This window comes from Homo sapiens, chromosome 18, assembly GCF_000001405.40.
Source record: "Homo sapiens chromosome 18, GRCh38.p14 Primary Assembly".
NCBI lineage: Eukaryota > Metazoa > Chordata > Mammalia > Primates > Hominidae > Homo > Homo sapiens.
Genome location: NC_000018.10, coordinates 35,348,880 through 35,360,992, shown reverse-complemented (window position 1 = coordinate 35,360,992; position 12,113 = coordinate 35,348,880). Strand labels below are relative to the sequence as shown.

General features: G+C 43.3%; 3 annotated features.

Annotated features, from left to right (window-relative positions):
* Window positions 4,285-4,817: an enhancer, noted in NCBI's record as "OCT4-NANOG hESC enhancer chr18:32936140-32936672 (GRCh37/hg19 assembly coordinates)". NCBI's record gives its function as "activates a minimal SCP1, AML or CMV promoter by ChIP-STARR-seq in naive and primed H9 embryonic stem cells {active_cell/tissue: H9 hESC(naive and primed)}" and the evidence as "EXISTENCE:reporter gene assay evidence [ECO:0000049][PMID:30033119]".
* Window positions 5,470-5,990: an enhancer, noted in NCBI's record as "OCT4-NANOG hESC enhancer chr18:32934967-32935487 (GRCh37/hg19 assembly coordinates)". NCBI's record gives its function as "activates a minimal SCP1, AML or CMV promoter by ChIP-STARR-seq in primed H9 embryonic stem cells {active_cell/tissue: H9 hESC(primed)}" and the evidence as "EXISTENCE:reporter gene assay evidence [ECO:0000049][PMID:30033119]".
* Window positions 5,649-5,828: a silencer, noted in NCBI's record as "silent region_9397". NCBI's record gives its function as "represses an Ori minimal core promoter by ATAC-STARR-seq in GM12878 lymphoblastoid cells {active_cell/tissue: GM12878}" and the evidence as "EXISTENCE:reporter gene assay evidence [ECO:0000049][PMID:35858748]".

Sequence of the window (12,113 nt, the reverse complement as noted above, 5' to 3'; positions counted from 1 at the left end):
TCACCCACGTTCCATTGGTGTCTGATCTCCGCGGGGATGCCTGCCTTGATCATTCACCCACATTCCTTTGGTGGCAAGTCAATTGTGGGGATGCCTGCTTTGGCTGCTCACCCATGTTGCAGCCCAGGGCTGCTCCCCACCCCCTTCTCCGTGTCTCTACCCTTCTCTTTAAACTTGCCTTCTTCACTATGGGCAACCTTCCACCCTCCATTCCTCCTCTCCCTTAGCCTGTGTTCTCAAGAACTTAAAACCTCTTCAACTCACACCTGACCTAAAACCTAAATGCCTTATTTTCTTCTACAATGTCACTTGACCCCAATACAAACTCAACAGTGGTTCCAATAGCCAGAAAACAACACTTTCGATTTTTCCATCCTACATCATCTAAATAATTCTTGTTGTAAATTGGGCAAACGGTCTGAGGTGCCTGATGTCCAGGCATTCTTTTACACATCGGTCCCTCTCTAGTCTCTGTTCCCAATGCAGCTCGTCCCAAATCTTCCTCCCCTCCCACTGGTCCCCTCAGTCCCAACCCCAAGCGTCGCTGAGTCTTTCTAATCTTCCTTTTCTACAGACCCATCTGACCTCTCCCCTCCTTGCCAGGCCGAGCTAAGTCCCAATTCTTCCTCAGCCCCTGCTCCTCCACCCTATAATCCTTTTATCACCTCTCCTCCTCACACCTGGTCCAGCTTACGGTTTCATTCTGTGATTAGCCCTCCCCCACCTGCCCCAGCAATTTCCTCTTAAAAAGGTGGCTGGAGCTAAAGGCATAGTCAAGGTTAATGCTCCTTTTTCTTTATCTGGTCTCTCCCAAATCAGTTAGTATTTAGGCTCTTTTTCATCAAATATGAAAAACCCAGCCCAGTTCATGGCTCATTTGGCAGCAACCCTGAGACGCTTTACAGCCCTAGACCCTGAAAGGTCAAAAGGCTGTCTTATTCTCAATACACATTTTATTTTATTACCCAATCTGCTCCCGACATTAAATAAAGCTCCAAAAATTAAATTCCAGCCCTCAAACCCCACAACAGGACTTAATTAACCTCGCTTTCAAGGTGTACAATAATAGAGTAGAGGCAGCTAAGTAGCAACATATTTCTGAGTTGCAATTCCTTGCCTCCACTGTGAGACAAACCCCAGCCACATCTCCAGCACACAAGAACTCCAAATGCCTGAACCGCAGCTGCCAGGGGTTCCTCCAGAACCTCCTCCCCCAGGAGCTTGCTACGAGTGCCAGAAATCTGGCCACTGGGCCAAGGAATGCCCACAGCCCAGGATTCCTTCTAAGCCATATCCCATCTGTGCGGGACCCCAATGAAAATCCGACGTTCAACTCACCTGGCTGCCACTTCCAGAGCCCCTGGAACTCTGGCCTAAGGCTCTCTGACTGACTCCTTCCCAGATCTTCTCGGCTTAGCAGATGAAGACTGACACTACCCAATCGCCTTGGAAGCCTACAGGACCATCACAGACACTCTGGGTAACTATCACAGTGGAGGGTAAGTCCATCCCCTTCTTAATACGGAGGCAACCCACTCCACATTACCTTCTTTTCAAAGGCCTGTTTCCCTTGCCTCCATAACTGTTGTAGGTATTGACGGCCAGGCTTCTAAACCTCTTAAAACTCCCTAATTCTGGTGCCAACTTAGACAATACTCTTTTAAGCACTCCTTTTTAGTTATCCCCACCTGCCCAGTTCCCTTATTAGGCCGAGACACTTTAACTAAATTATCTGCTTCCCTGACTGTGCCTGGACTACAGCCACACCTCATTGCCACCTTTTCCCCCAGTTCAAAACCTCCTTCACATCCTCCCCTTGTATCTCCCCACCTTAACCCACAAGTATGATACCTCTACTCCCTCCTTGGTGACCGATCATGCACCCCTTACCATCCCATTAAAACCTAATCAACCTTACCCCGATGAATGCCAATATCCCATCCCACAGCACACTTTAAAAGGATTAAAGCCTGTTATCACTCACCTGTTACAGCATGGCCTTTTAAAGCCTAGAAACTCTCCTTACAATTCCCCCATTTTACCTGTCCTAGAACCAAACAAGCCTTACTGGTTAGTTCAGGATCTGCGCCTTATCAACCAAATTGTTTTGCCTATCCACCCCATGGTGCCAAACCCATATACTCTCCTATCCTCAATACCTCCCTCCACAACCCATTATTCTGTTCTGGATCTCAAACATGCTTTCTTTACTATTCCTTTGCACCCTTCATCCCAGCCTCTCTTCACTTTCACTTGCACTGACCTTGACACCCATTAGGCTCAGCAAATTACCTGCAAGAATTCACAGACAGCCCCCATTATTTCAGTCAAGCCCAAATTTCTTCCTCATCTGTTACCTATCTCGGCATAATTCTCATAAAAACACACGTGCTCTCCCTGCTGATCGTGTCCAGCTGATCTCTCAAACCCCAACACCTTCTACAAAACAACAATTCCTTTCCTTCCTAGGCATGGTTAGATACTTTCAACTTTAGATACCTGGTTTTGCCATCCTAACAAAACCACTATATAAATTCACAAAAGGAAACCTAGCTGACCCCATAGATCCTAAATCCTTTCCCCACTCCTCTTTCCGTTCCTTGAAGACAGCTTTAGAGACTGCCCCCACCTAGCTCTCCCTGACTCATCCCAACCATTTTCATTACCCACAGCCAAAGTGCAGGACTGTGCAGTCAGAATTCTTACACAAGAACCAAGACCGTGCCCTGTAGCCTTTTTATCCAAACAACTTGACCTTACTGTTTTGCCTAGCCCTCAAGTTCTGCATGCGGTGGCTGCCGCCGCCCTAATACTTTTAGAGGCCCTTAAAATCACAAACTATGCTCAATTCACTCTCTACAGTTCTCATAACTTCCAAAATCTATTTTCTTCTTCACACCTGACACATATACTTTCTGCTCCCCAGCTCCTTCAGCTGTACTCACTCTTTGTTGAGTCTCCCACAGTTACCATTTTTCCTGGCCCGGACTTCAGTCCGGCCTCCCACATTATTCCTGATGCTACACCTGACCCCCATAACTGTATCTCTCTGATCCAACTGACATTCACCCCATTTCCCCATATTTCCTTCTTTCCTGTTCCTCACCCTGATCACACTTGGTTTATTGATGGCAGTTCCACCAGGCCTAATCGCTACACACCAACAAAGGCAGGCTATGCTATAGTAAAAGCCACTAGCCCGCCTCTTAGAACCTCTCATTTCCTTTCCATCGTGGAAATCTATCCTCAAGGAAGTAACTTCTCAGTGTTCCATCTGCTATTCTACTACTTCTCAGGGATTATTCAGGCCCCCTCCCTTCCCTACACATCAAGCTCGAGGATTTGTCCCCACCCAGGACTGGCAAATTGGCTTTACTCAACATGCCCCGAGTCAGATGACTAAAATACCTCTTAGTCTAGGTAGATACTTTCACTGGATAGGTAGAGGCCTTTCCTACAGGGTCTGAGAATGCCACCGCAGTCATTTCTTCCCTTCTGTCAGACATAATTCCTCAGTTTAGCCTTCCCACCTCTATACAGTCTGATAACAGACCAACCTTTATTAGTCAAATCAGCGAAGCATTTTTTCAGGCTCTTAGTATTCAGTGAAACCTTTATATCCCTTATGGTCCTCAGTTTTCAGGAAAAGTAGAATGGACTAAAGATCTTTTAAACACACACTTCATCAAGCTCAGCCACCAACTTAAAAAGGACTGGACAATACTTTTACCACTTTTCCTTCTCAGAATTCAGGCCTGTCCTCACAATGCTGCAGGGTACAGCCCATTTGAGCTCCTGTATAGATGCTCCTTTTTATTAGGCCCCAGTCTCATCCCAGACACCAGACCAACTTGGCCTGTGCCCCAAAAAACTTGTCATCCCTACTATTTTCTGTCTAGTCATACTCTTATTCTCCGTTCTCAACTACTCATACATGCCCTGCTCTTGTTTACACTGCCGGTTTACACTGTTTCTCCAAGGCATCACAGCTGATATCTCCTGGTGCTATCCCCAAACTGCCACTCTTAACTCTTAAAGTAAATAAATAATCTTTGCTGGCAAGGCTATGCTGAACCTCTTTAGGCACTCTCTAATTAGATGTCCTAAGTCCTCCCAATTCTTAGTCCTTTAATACCTGTATTTCTCCTTCTATTATTCCGTTTAGTTTTTCAATTCATACAAAACCGTATCCAGGCCATCACCAATAATTCTACACGAAAATGTTTCTTCTAACAACCTCACAATATCACCCCTTACCACAAAATCTTCCTTCGGCTTAATCTCTCCCACTCTAGGTTCCCACGCTGCCCCTAATCCCGCTTGAAGCAGCCCTGAGAAACATCGCCCATTATCTCTCCATACCACCCCCCAAAATTTTCACCATCTCAACATTTTACTGCTATCTAGTTTTATTTTTCGTATTAATATAAGAAGACAGGAATGTCAGGCCTCTGAGCCCAAGCTAAGCCATCATATCCCCTGTGACCTGCACGTACACATCCAGATGGCCAGTTCCTGCCTTAACTGATGACATTCCACCACAAAAGAAGTGAAAATGGCCTGTTCCTGCCTTAACTGATGACATTATCTTGTGAAATTCCTTCTCCTGGCTCATCCTGGCTCAAAAGCTCCCCTACTGAGCACCTTGTGACCCCCACACCTGCCTGCCAGAGAACAAGTCCCCTTTGACTGTAATTTCCCTTTACCTACCCAAATCCTATAAAATGGCCCCACCCCTATCTCCCTTCGCTGACTCTCTTTTCGGACTCAGCCCACCTGCACCCAGGTGAAAGAAACAGCCTTGTTGCTCACACAAAGTCTGTTTGGTGGTTTCTTCACACAGATGCGCACGAAATTCCCCACTTGGCATCTCTTTGCTTATACTCAAAGGCAGCCTGAAACCCAGAAGTGCACACCGAAAATGAATAGAAAGTTCCAAGATAAGAGTTCTGTCTCTGGCCTAAGGAATTGTACACTTAAAATGGTTAAAATGATCAATTTTCATGTTACATATATTTTACCACAATGAAAAAGAAAAGTATTGGAAGAAACAAATTGAAGCTGCTTTAAAAAAAAATCCCTGCCCTAATAAAGTTTGGAGTGGGAAAGGGGGATTCTAAGGGTCAGAGAGAATGGGAAAATCCCACATACAGTATTCTTTGCTTTATTTCCCTTCTCTTCTACCCCAGTCTTCAGGGAATAGTATGGCAGTAGCATTGGCGTCAGCAGCATTGCAATGGCAGTAGTCTTTTGGAAGGCATTTAATTAAATTAATTTATTTAATGATCTATTTATTTTAGAGACAGGGCCTCACTCTGTCACCCAGGCTGTGGGAAGGCACTTTAAGCTCAGAGGGAGATGAACACTTTGTTCTGAACAGAGTTGCTTTGGTCCCAGAAGCATGGAGCAAATCCCCATTGCTTTTATTTTCTCTGTGTCCTCTGGCTGCTTGGACCAGGATGCGGAATGCAGCTGGGAGAAGTAAACAGCAGAACTAAACCAGGAAACTAAAACCCCAGCTTTCTAACTGAAGAACTGGTAAGACAGACCCCAGGGAGCCAGAAAAGTGATAAAGTTATTGCAAAGAAGATGGAGATCAAGTGAGATCCCCTAAAGTTTTGTATGAGCGCTGTCTGCTTGCCTCTAAACTGCGCATGTGTGAAGCTGACCCTAACTGGCACATCACAGGCATTGAGAACTGAGCTACAAGATAGACTACCGCTTAGGCCCCAGATTGGCCACTGGGTGGCAGACACAAAGACCCAAATTGAACTGGAAATGTGTGAAACCTGAACTGACATTGGAACTACAGCCCACACAATGCAGATCAGAACTTGCAACCTGACCCTAACTAGGGCAGTTGACTGTTAAAGAAAAACATCAACATTCTCCTTATGACTTAAATAATGCCCAGGATCTGACAGCATAATATTGAAAATGTGCAGGATACAATGCAAAATTACTAGGCACAGAAAGAACCAGGAATATCTCCACTTGCAAGAGAAAAAAAAATCAAGTGATGCCAACACCTAGATGATACAGACATTAGGGTTCACAGAAAAAACTTTAAGGCAAGTTTTATAACCATGCTTTGAAAGTAAGGGTGAATGAATGGAAGGATATATATCAGGAAAGAAATGGAAGATATAGAGAGGAAATGAATGGAAATTTTTGAAGTGAAAAATACAACAATCAAAATAAAATATTCACCTGATGGGTTCAATAGGGAAACGGAGATGACAGAGGAAATAGTGATAAATCAATAGAAATTACTGAATCTAAATGACACAGACAGTAAAAGACCGACAAACAAAAAAAGGACAGTACAAGAAAACTACAATCCAATATCCTTCACAGACGTAGGCACAAAACTCCTCAACAAAATACTAGCAAATTTAATTCAGCAATGTATAGAAAGGATAAAACATCATGACCAAGAGGGTTTATCCCAGAACTGTAAGGTTGACTCAGTACTCAAAAATCAGTGAAGCTAATTTACCATATTAATAGTCTCAACAGGAAAAACCACATGGTCATATCAATTGATGCAGGAAAAGTATTTGACAAAATTCACATCCATTTATGAAAAGAATAGAAGGAGGCTTCTTCAAACTTGTAAAGGTTATCTACTAAAAATCTAGAGTTAATATAACACTTAATTATGAAAGGCCGAATGTTTTTCTCCTTAAGACTGAGAACAAAAAAAGGGATGTCTACTCTGCACTCCTATTCAACATTGTAATTGAAGTCCTAACCAGTACAATAAGGCAAGATATGAAAATTATGCACAGCTTGGCATGGTGGTTCACACCTATAATCCCAGCACTTTGGGATGTCAAGACAGGAGGATCACTTAAGGCCAGGAATTTGAGACCAGCCTGGCAACATAGCAAGACCTCATTTCTACAAAAATTTTTAAAAAGCCAGATGTGGTAGCAACACCTGTAGTGCCAGTTACTCAGGAAGCTGAGGTGGGAGGATCACTTGAGCCCAGGAGGTTGAGGCTGCAGTAAGCCATGATCACGCCATAGTACTGCAGCCTGGGTGACAAAACGAGACCCTGTCTCTAATTTTAAAAATTAAAAAAGAAAGTTATGCAGGCTATTTATTTTAAAAATAAGTGCTCCCAATTTGCAGGTAACTTGAACATCTACCTAAAAAATCCCACTGAATCTATAAAAAACTTCCTAATAATAATAAGGGAGTATAGCAAGATTGTAAAATATAACGTTGTCTTAGTGAGTTTGGGGTCCTATAACAAAAATACCATAAGCTGAGTGGTTTAAACAACAGAAATTTATTTCTGTACAGGAAGCATGATGGTAGCATCTGTTTGGCTTCTGGGGAGGCCTCAGGAAACTTACAATCATGGTGTAAGATGAAGGGGAAGCAGGTACCTCTTACATGGCTGGAGCAGGTGCAAGAGAGAGGTGGGGAGGTGCTACACACTTTTAAATAACCAGATCCCTTGAGAACTCTATCACAAGAAAAGCACCAAGGGGGATGGTGTTAAATCATTCGTGAGAACTCACCCCCATGATCCAATCAATCACCTCCCACCAGGCCCCACCTCCAATATTGGGGAACACAATTTGACATAAGATTTGGGCAGGGACACAGAACAAAACTCTATCATTCTGCTCCTGGCCCCTCCCAAATCTCATGTCCATCTCACACTGCAAAATACAACCATGTCTTCCCAACAGTCCCCAAAGTCTTAACTCATTCCAGCATTAACTCAAAAGTCCAAAGTCTCATTTGAGACAAGGTTAGACCGTTTCACCTATAAGCCTGTAAAATAACTAGTTACAACCAAGATACAATGAAGGTATAGGCATAGGGTAAATACTCCTATTCCAAAAGGGAGAAGCCCACCAAAAGAAAGGGGCTACAGGTGCTGTGCAAGCCCCAAATCCAGCAGAGCAATCATTAAATCTTAAAGTGCCAAAATAATCTCTGTTGAATCCATGTCCCACACCCAGGGCATGCTGATGCAATGGGTAGACTCCTAAGGCCTTGGACAGCTCCACCCTGTGGCTTTGCAGGATTCAGCCCCTATAGCTGTTCTCAAGGATTGACACTGAGTGCCTGTGGCTTTTCCAAGTGCAGGGTGCAAGCTGCTGGTGGATCTGCCATTCCCCCACTAAGCAGTGCCCCAGTGGGAGTCTGTATGGGGGCTCCAATCCCACATTTCCCCTTTGCACTGCCCTAGTACAGGTTCTCCATGAGGGATCCACCCCTGCAACAAGCCTCTGCCTGGACCTCCAGGCTTTTCCATACATCCTCTGAAGTCTAGGTGGAGGCTCCAAAATCTCAACTCTTGCACTCTGCATTCCCACAGGCTTAACACCATGTGGAAGCTGCCAAGTCTTATGGCTTGCACTCTCTGGAGCAGTGGCCCAAGCTGTATCTGGGCCCCTATATGACGTGGCTGGAGTTGGAGTGGCTGGGATGCAGGGAACAGTGTCCCAACGCTGTGTAGGGCAGCAGGGCCCTGGTCCTGGCCCAGGAAACCATTCTATCCTCCTAGGCCTCCAGGCCCATGATGGGAGGGGCTACCACAAAGGTCTCTGAAATGCCTTCCAGGCCTTTTCCCCATTGTCTTGGCTATTAGCACTTGGCTCCTTTATACTTATGCAAATTTCTGCAGCCTGCTTGAATTCCTCCCATGAAAATGGGCTTTTCTTTTCTACAACATTGCCAGGCTACAAATTTTCCAAACTTCTACCCTCTGCTTCCCTTTTAAATGTAAGTTCCACTTTCAGCTAATTTATTTGCTCGTGCATATGAGCATAGGTTGTTAGAAGCAGCCAGGCCACATCATGAATGCTTTGCTGCTTAGACATCTCTTCCACCAGATACCCCAAATCATCATTCTCAAGTTCAAAATTTCACAGATCCCTAGAGCAGGGCACTATGCAGCCAGGCTCTTTGCTAAAGCATAGCAAAAGTGATCTTTACTCCATTTCCCAATAAGTTTCTCATCTTCATCTGAGACCTCCTCAGCCTGGACTTCACTATTCATATCACTGTCGGCCTTTTGGTCAACAAGTCTCTAGGAAGACTTCAACAAGCCTCTAGAAATTTCCAAACTTTCCCTCATCTTCCTGTCTTCTTCTGAGCCCTCTAATCTCTTCCAACCTCTTCCCATTACCCAGTTCCAAAGCTGCTTCCACATTTTCAGGTATCTTTATAGCAATGCCCCACTCCTCAGTACCAATTTTCAGTATTAGTCCATTCTCACATTGCTATAAATAAATACCTGAGACTGGGTAATTTATAAAGAAAAGAGATTAATTGGCTTTTGGTTCTCTAAGCTGTACAGGAAGAATGATGCTAGCATCTGTTCAACTTCTGGGGAGGCCTTGGGAAAGTTCAAATCATGGTGGAAGGCAAAGGGGAAGCTGGCACATCTTACATGGCTGGAGCAGGAGGAAGAGAGAGAAGAGGGGAGGTGCTACACGCTTTAAATTACCAGATCTCGTGAGAATTCTATCACGTGAACAGCACCAAAGGAGGATGGTGCTAAATCATTCATGAGAACTTGCCTCCATTATCCAATCACCTCCTACCAGGCCTCACCTCCAACATTGAGGAATCACAATTCAACATGAGATTTGAGCAGGGACACAGATCCAAACTATATCACCTCCTAAGGCCTCACCTCCAAATACCACCACATTGTGAATTAGGGCTTTAACATACAAAGTTCAGGGTAACACAAACACTTAGTCCATAGCAAAAGCCAATATACAAAAATCAATTACATTTATATATACTGACAATAAACACTGGAAATCAAAAAATGTTTAAATACTATTTAAAGGCCAGGTGCAGTAGCTCACGCCTATAATCCCAGCACTTTGGGAGGCTGAGGCTGGTGGATCACTTGAGGCCAGGAGTTTGAGACCAGCCTGGCTGGCATAGCGAAACCTCATCTCTATTAAATATACATACACACACAGATTAGCTGGGCGTGGTGTCACTTGCCTGTAATCCCAGCTACTCAGGAGGTTGAGGAATGAGAATCCTTGCATCCAGGAGGTGGAGGCTGCAGTGAGCTTAGATTGCACCACTGCACTCCAGCCTGGGTGACAAAGCAAGACACTGTCTCAAAAGAAAAACATTTAAAATAGCTCATAAAACACTAAGTATTTAAGAATAAATTGAACAAAGCATGGGTAGAATTTGTATACTGAAATCTACAAAATGATGATGAAGAAAATCAAAGAATATCAAAATAAATGGGGAGATGTAGAGTGTTCATGGACATCACTAAATTGAACAATAGATTTAATGTAATTCCAATAGAATTTCCAATAGAATAGGGTGTTTTTGTAAATATAGGCAAGCTGATTCTAAAAGATATATGGAATGCTAAATGGATTCAAACTACCAGATTTTTTTTTTTAAACAAACAGGGTCTTGCTCTGTCACCTAGGCTGAAGTACAGTGGCACAATCGTAGCTCACTGCAGTCTCAATCTTCTGGGTTCAAGCAGTCCTCCTGCCTTAACCTCCTTAGTAGCTGGGACTACAGGTGTGCACGACCACATCCAGATAATTTTTTCTATATTTTTGTAGAGATGGGGGTCTCTCTATGTAGACCAGGCTGATCTTGAACTCCTGGCCTCAAGTGATTCTCCCACCTTGGCCTCCCAAAGTGCTGGGATTACAGGCATAAGCCACCATGCCCAGCCCAGGTTTTTGACAATTATCATAAGGCTACAGTAATCAAGCATGTGAGATAACATGCTTGATAATATAACAGATTAGAGAATTGAGAAATATGACCAATTGATTTTTTATAAAGATGTAAAGGCAGTTCAATGGACAAAGGATGAACTTTTTATCAAATAGAACAATTGGGCATCTCCATGCAAAACAAAAACAAAAAACCCTTTAGTGTAAGATATAGTTCATGCCTTATACTAAAATTCATGCAAACTAAATCATATATTCATGTGAAATGTAAAACTGTAAAACTCTTAGAAGAAAACATAAGAGAGAGTCTTCATGGTCTGGTATTAGGTATTATTAGATATGACACTAAAAGCACTAAAAAATAAATTGATGTTCATAAAAATTAACAAGTGTTGCTCTGCAAAACACACTAGTAAGAGAAGAAAATATAAGCTACAGACTCAGATATTTTCAAATCACAAATTAGACAAAAGACTTATGTCCAACATAGAATTCCCAAAACTCAATAGTAAGAAAAAAAATTTTAATGGGGAGGGAGACTTGAGCAGACACTTCATAAAAGAGTACTTATGGGTGGCAAAAAGCACCTGAAAAGTTGTCCAACATCATTAGCCTTTAGGGAAATGCAAATTAAAACCATGATGAGCTATGACAACACATACATTAGAATGGATAAATGGCAGCAGCAAAAGACAATACCAAGTGCTGTTAAGGATGGGGAGCATTTGGAGCACTCATGCATTGCTGGTGGTGCAAAATGGTGCAGACACTCTGGAAAACAGTTCAGCAGTTTCCTTGAAAGTTAACCATGTACTTACCATATGACCCACCAATCCCACCTCTAGATATTTACTCTAGAGAAATAAAATCTATGTTCATATAAAAACCTGTCCATGAATTTTTTTTTTTTTTTTTGAGACAGAGTCGCACTCTGTCGCCCAAGCTGGAGTGCAATGGCGCAATCTCGGCTCACTGCAACCTCCGCCTCCCAGGTTCAAGCGATTCTCCTATCTAAGCCTCCCAAGTAGCTGGGATTACAGGCACGTGCCACCATGCCCGGCTAATTTTTAGTTTAGTAGAGACAGGGTTTCACCATGTTGGCCAGGCTGGTCGAACTCCTGACCTTAGGTGATCCGCCTGCCTTGGCCTCCCAAAGTGCTGGGATTACAGGCATGAGCCACCACGCCTAGCCTCTGTCCATGAATATTTATAGTAGTTCTATTCATAATCACCCAAATCCAGAAACAACCCCAAAGTCCTTCAGTGGTTGAATGGATAAACAAACTATGATAGATACAAGTGGAATATTACTCAGTAATAGACTGGAATCGACTATTGATACATGTGACAACACAGATGAATCTCAAAGGCATTATGATGAATCAAAGAAACCAGCCTTAAAAGATAACA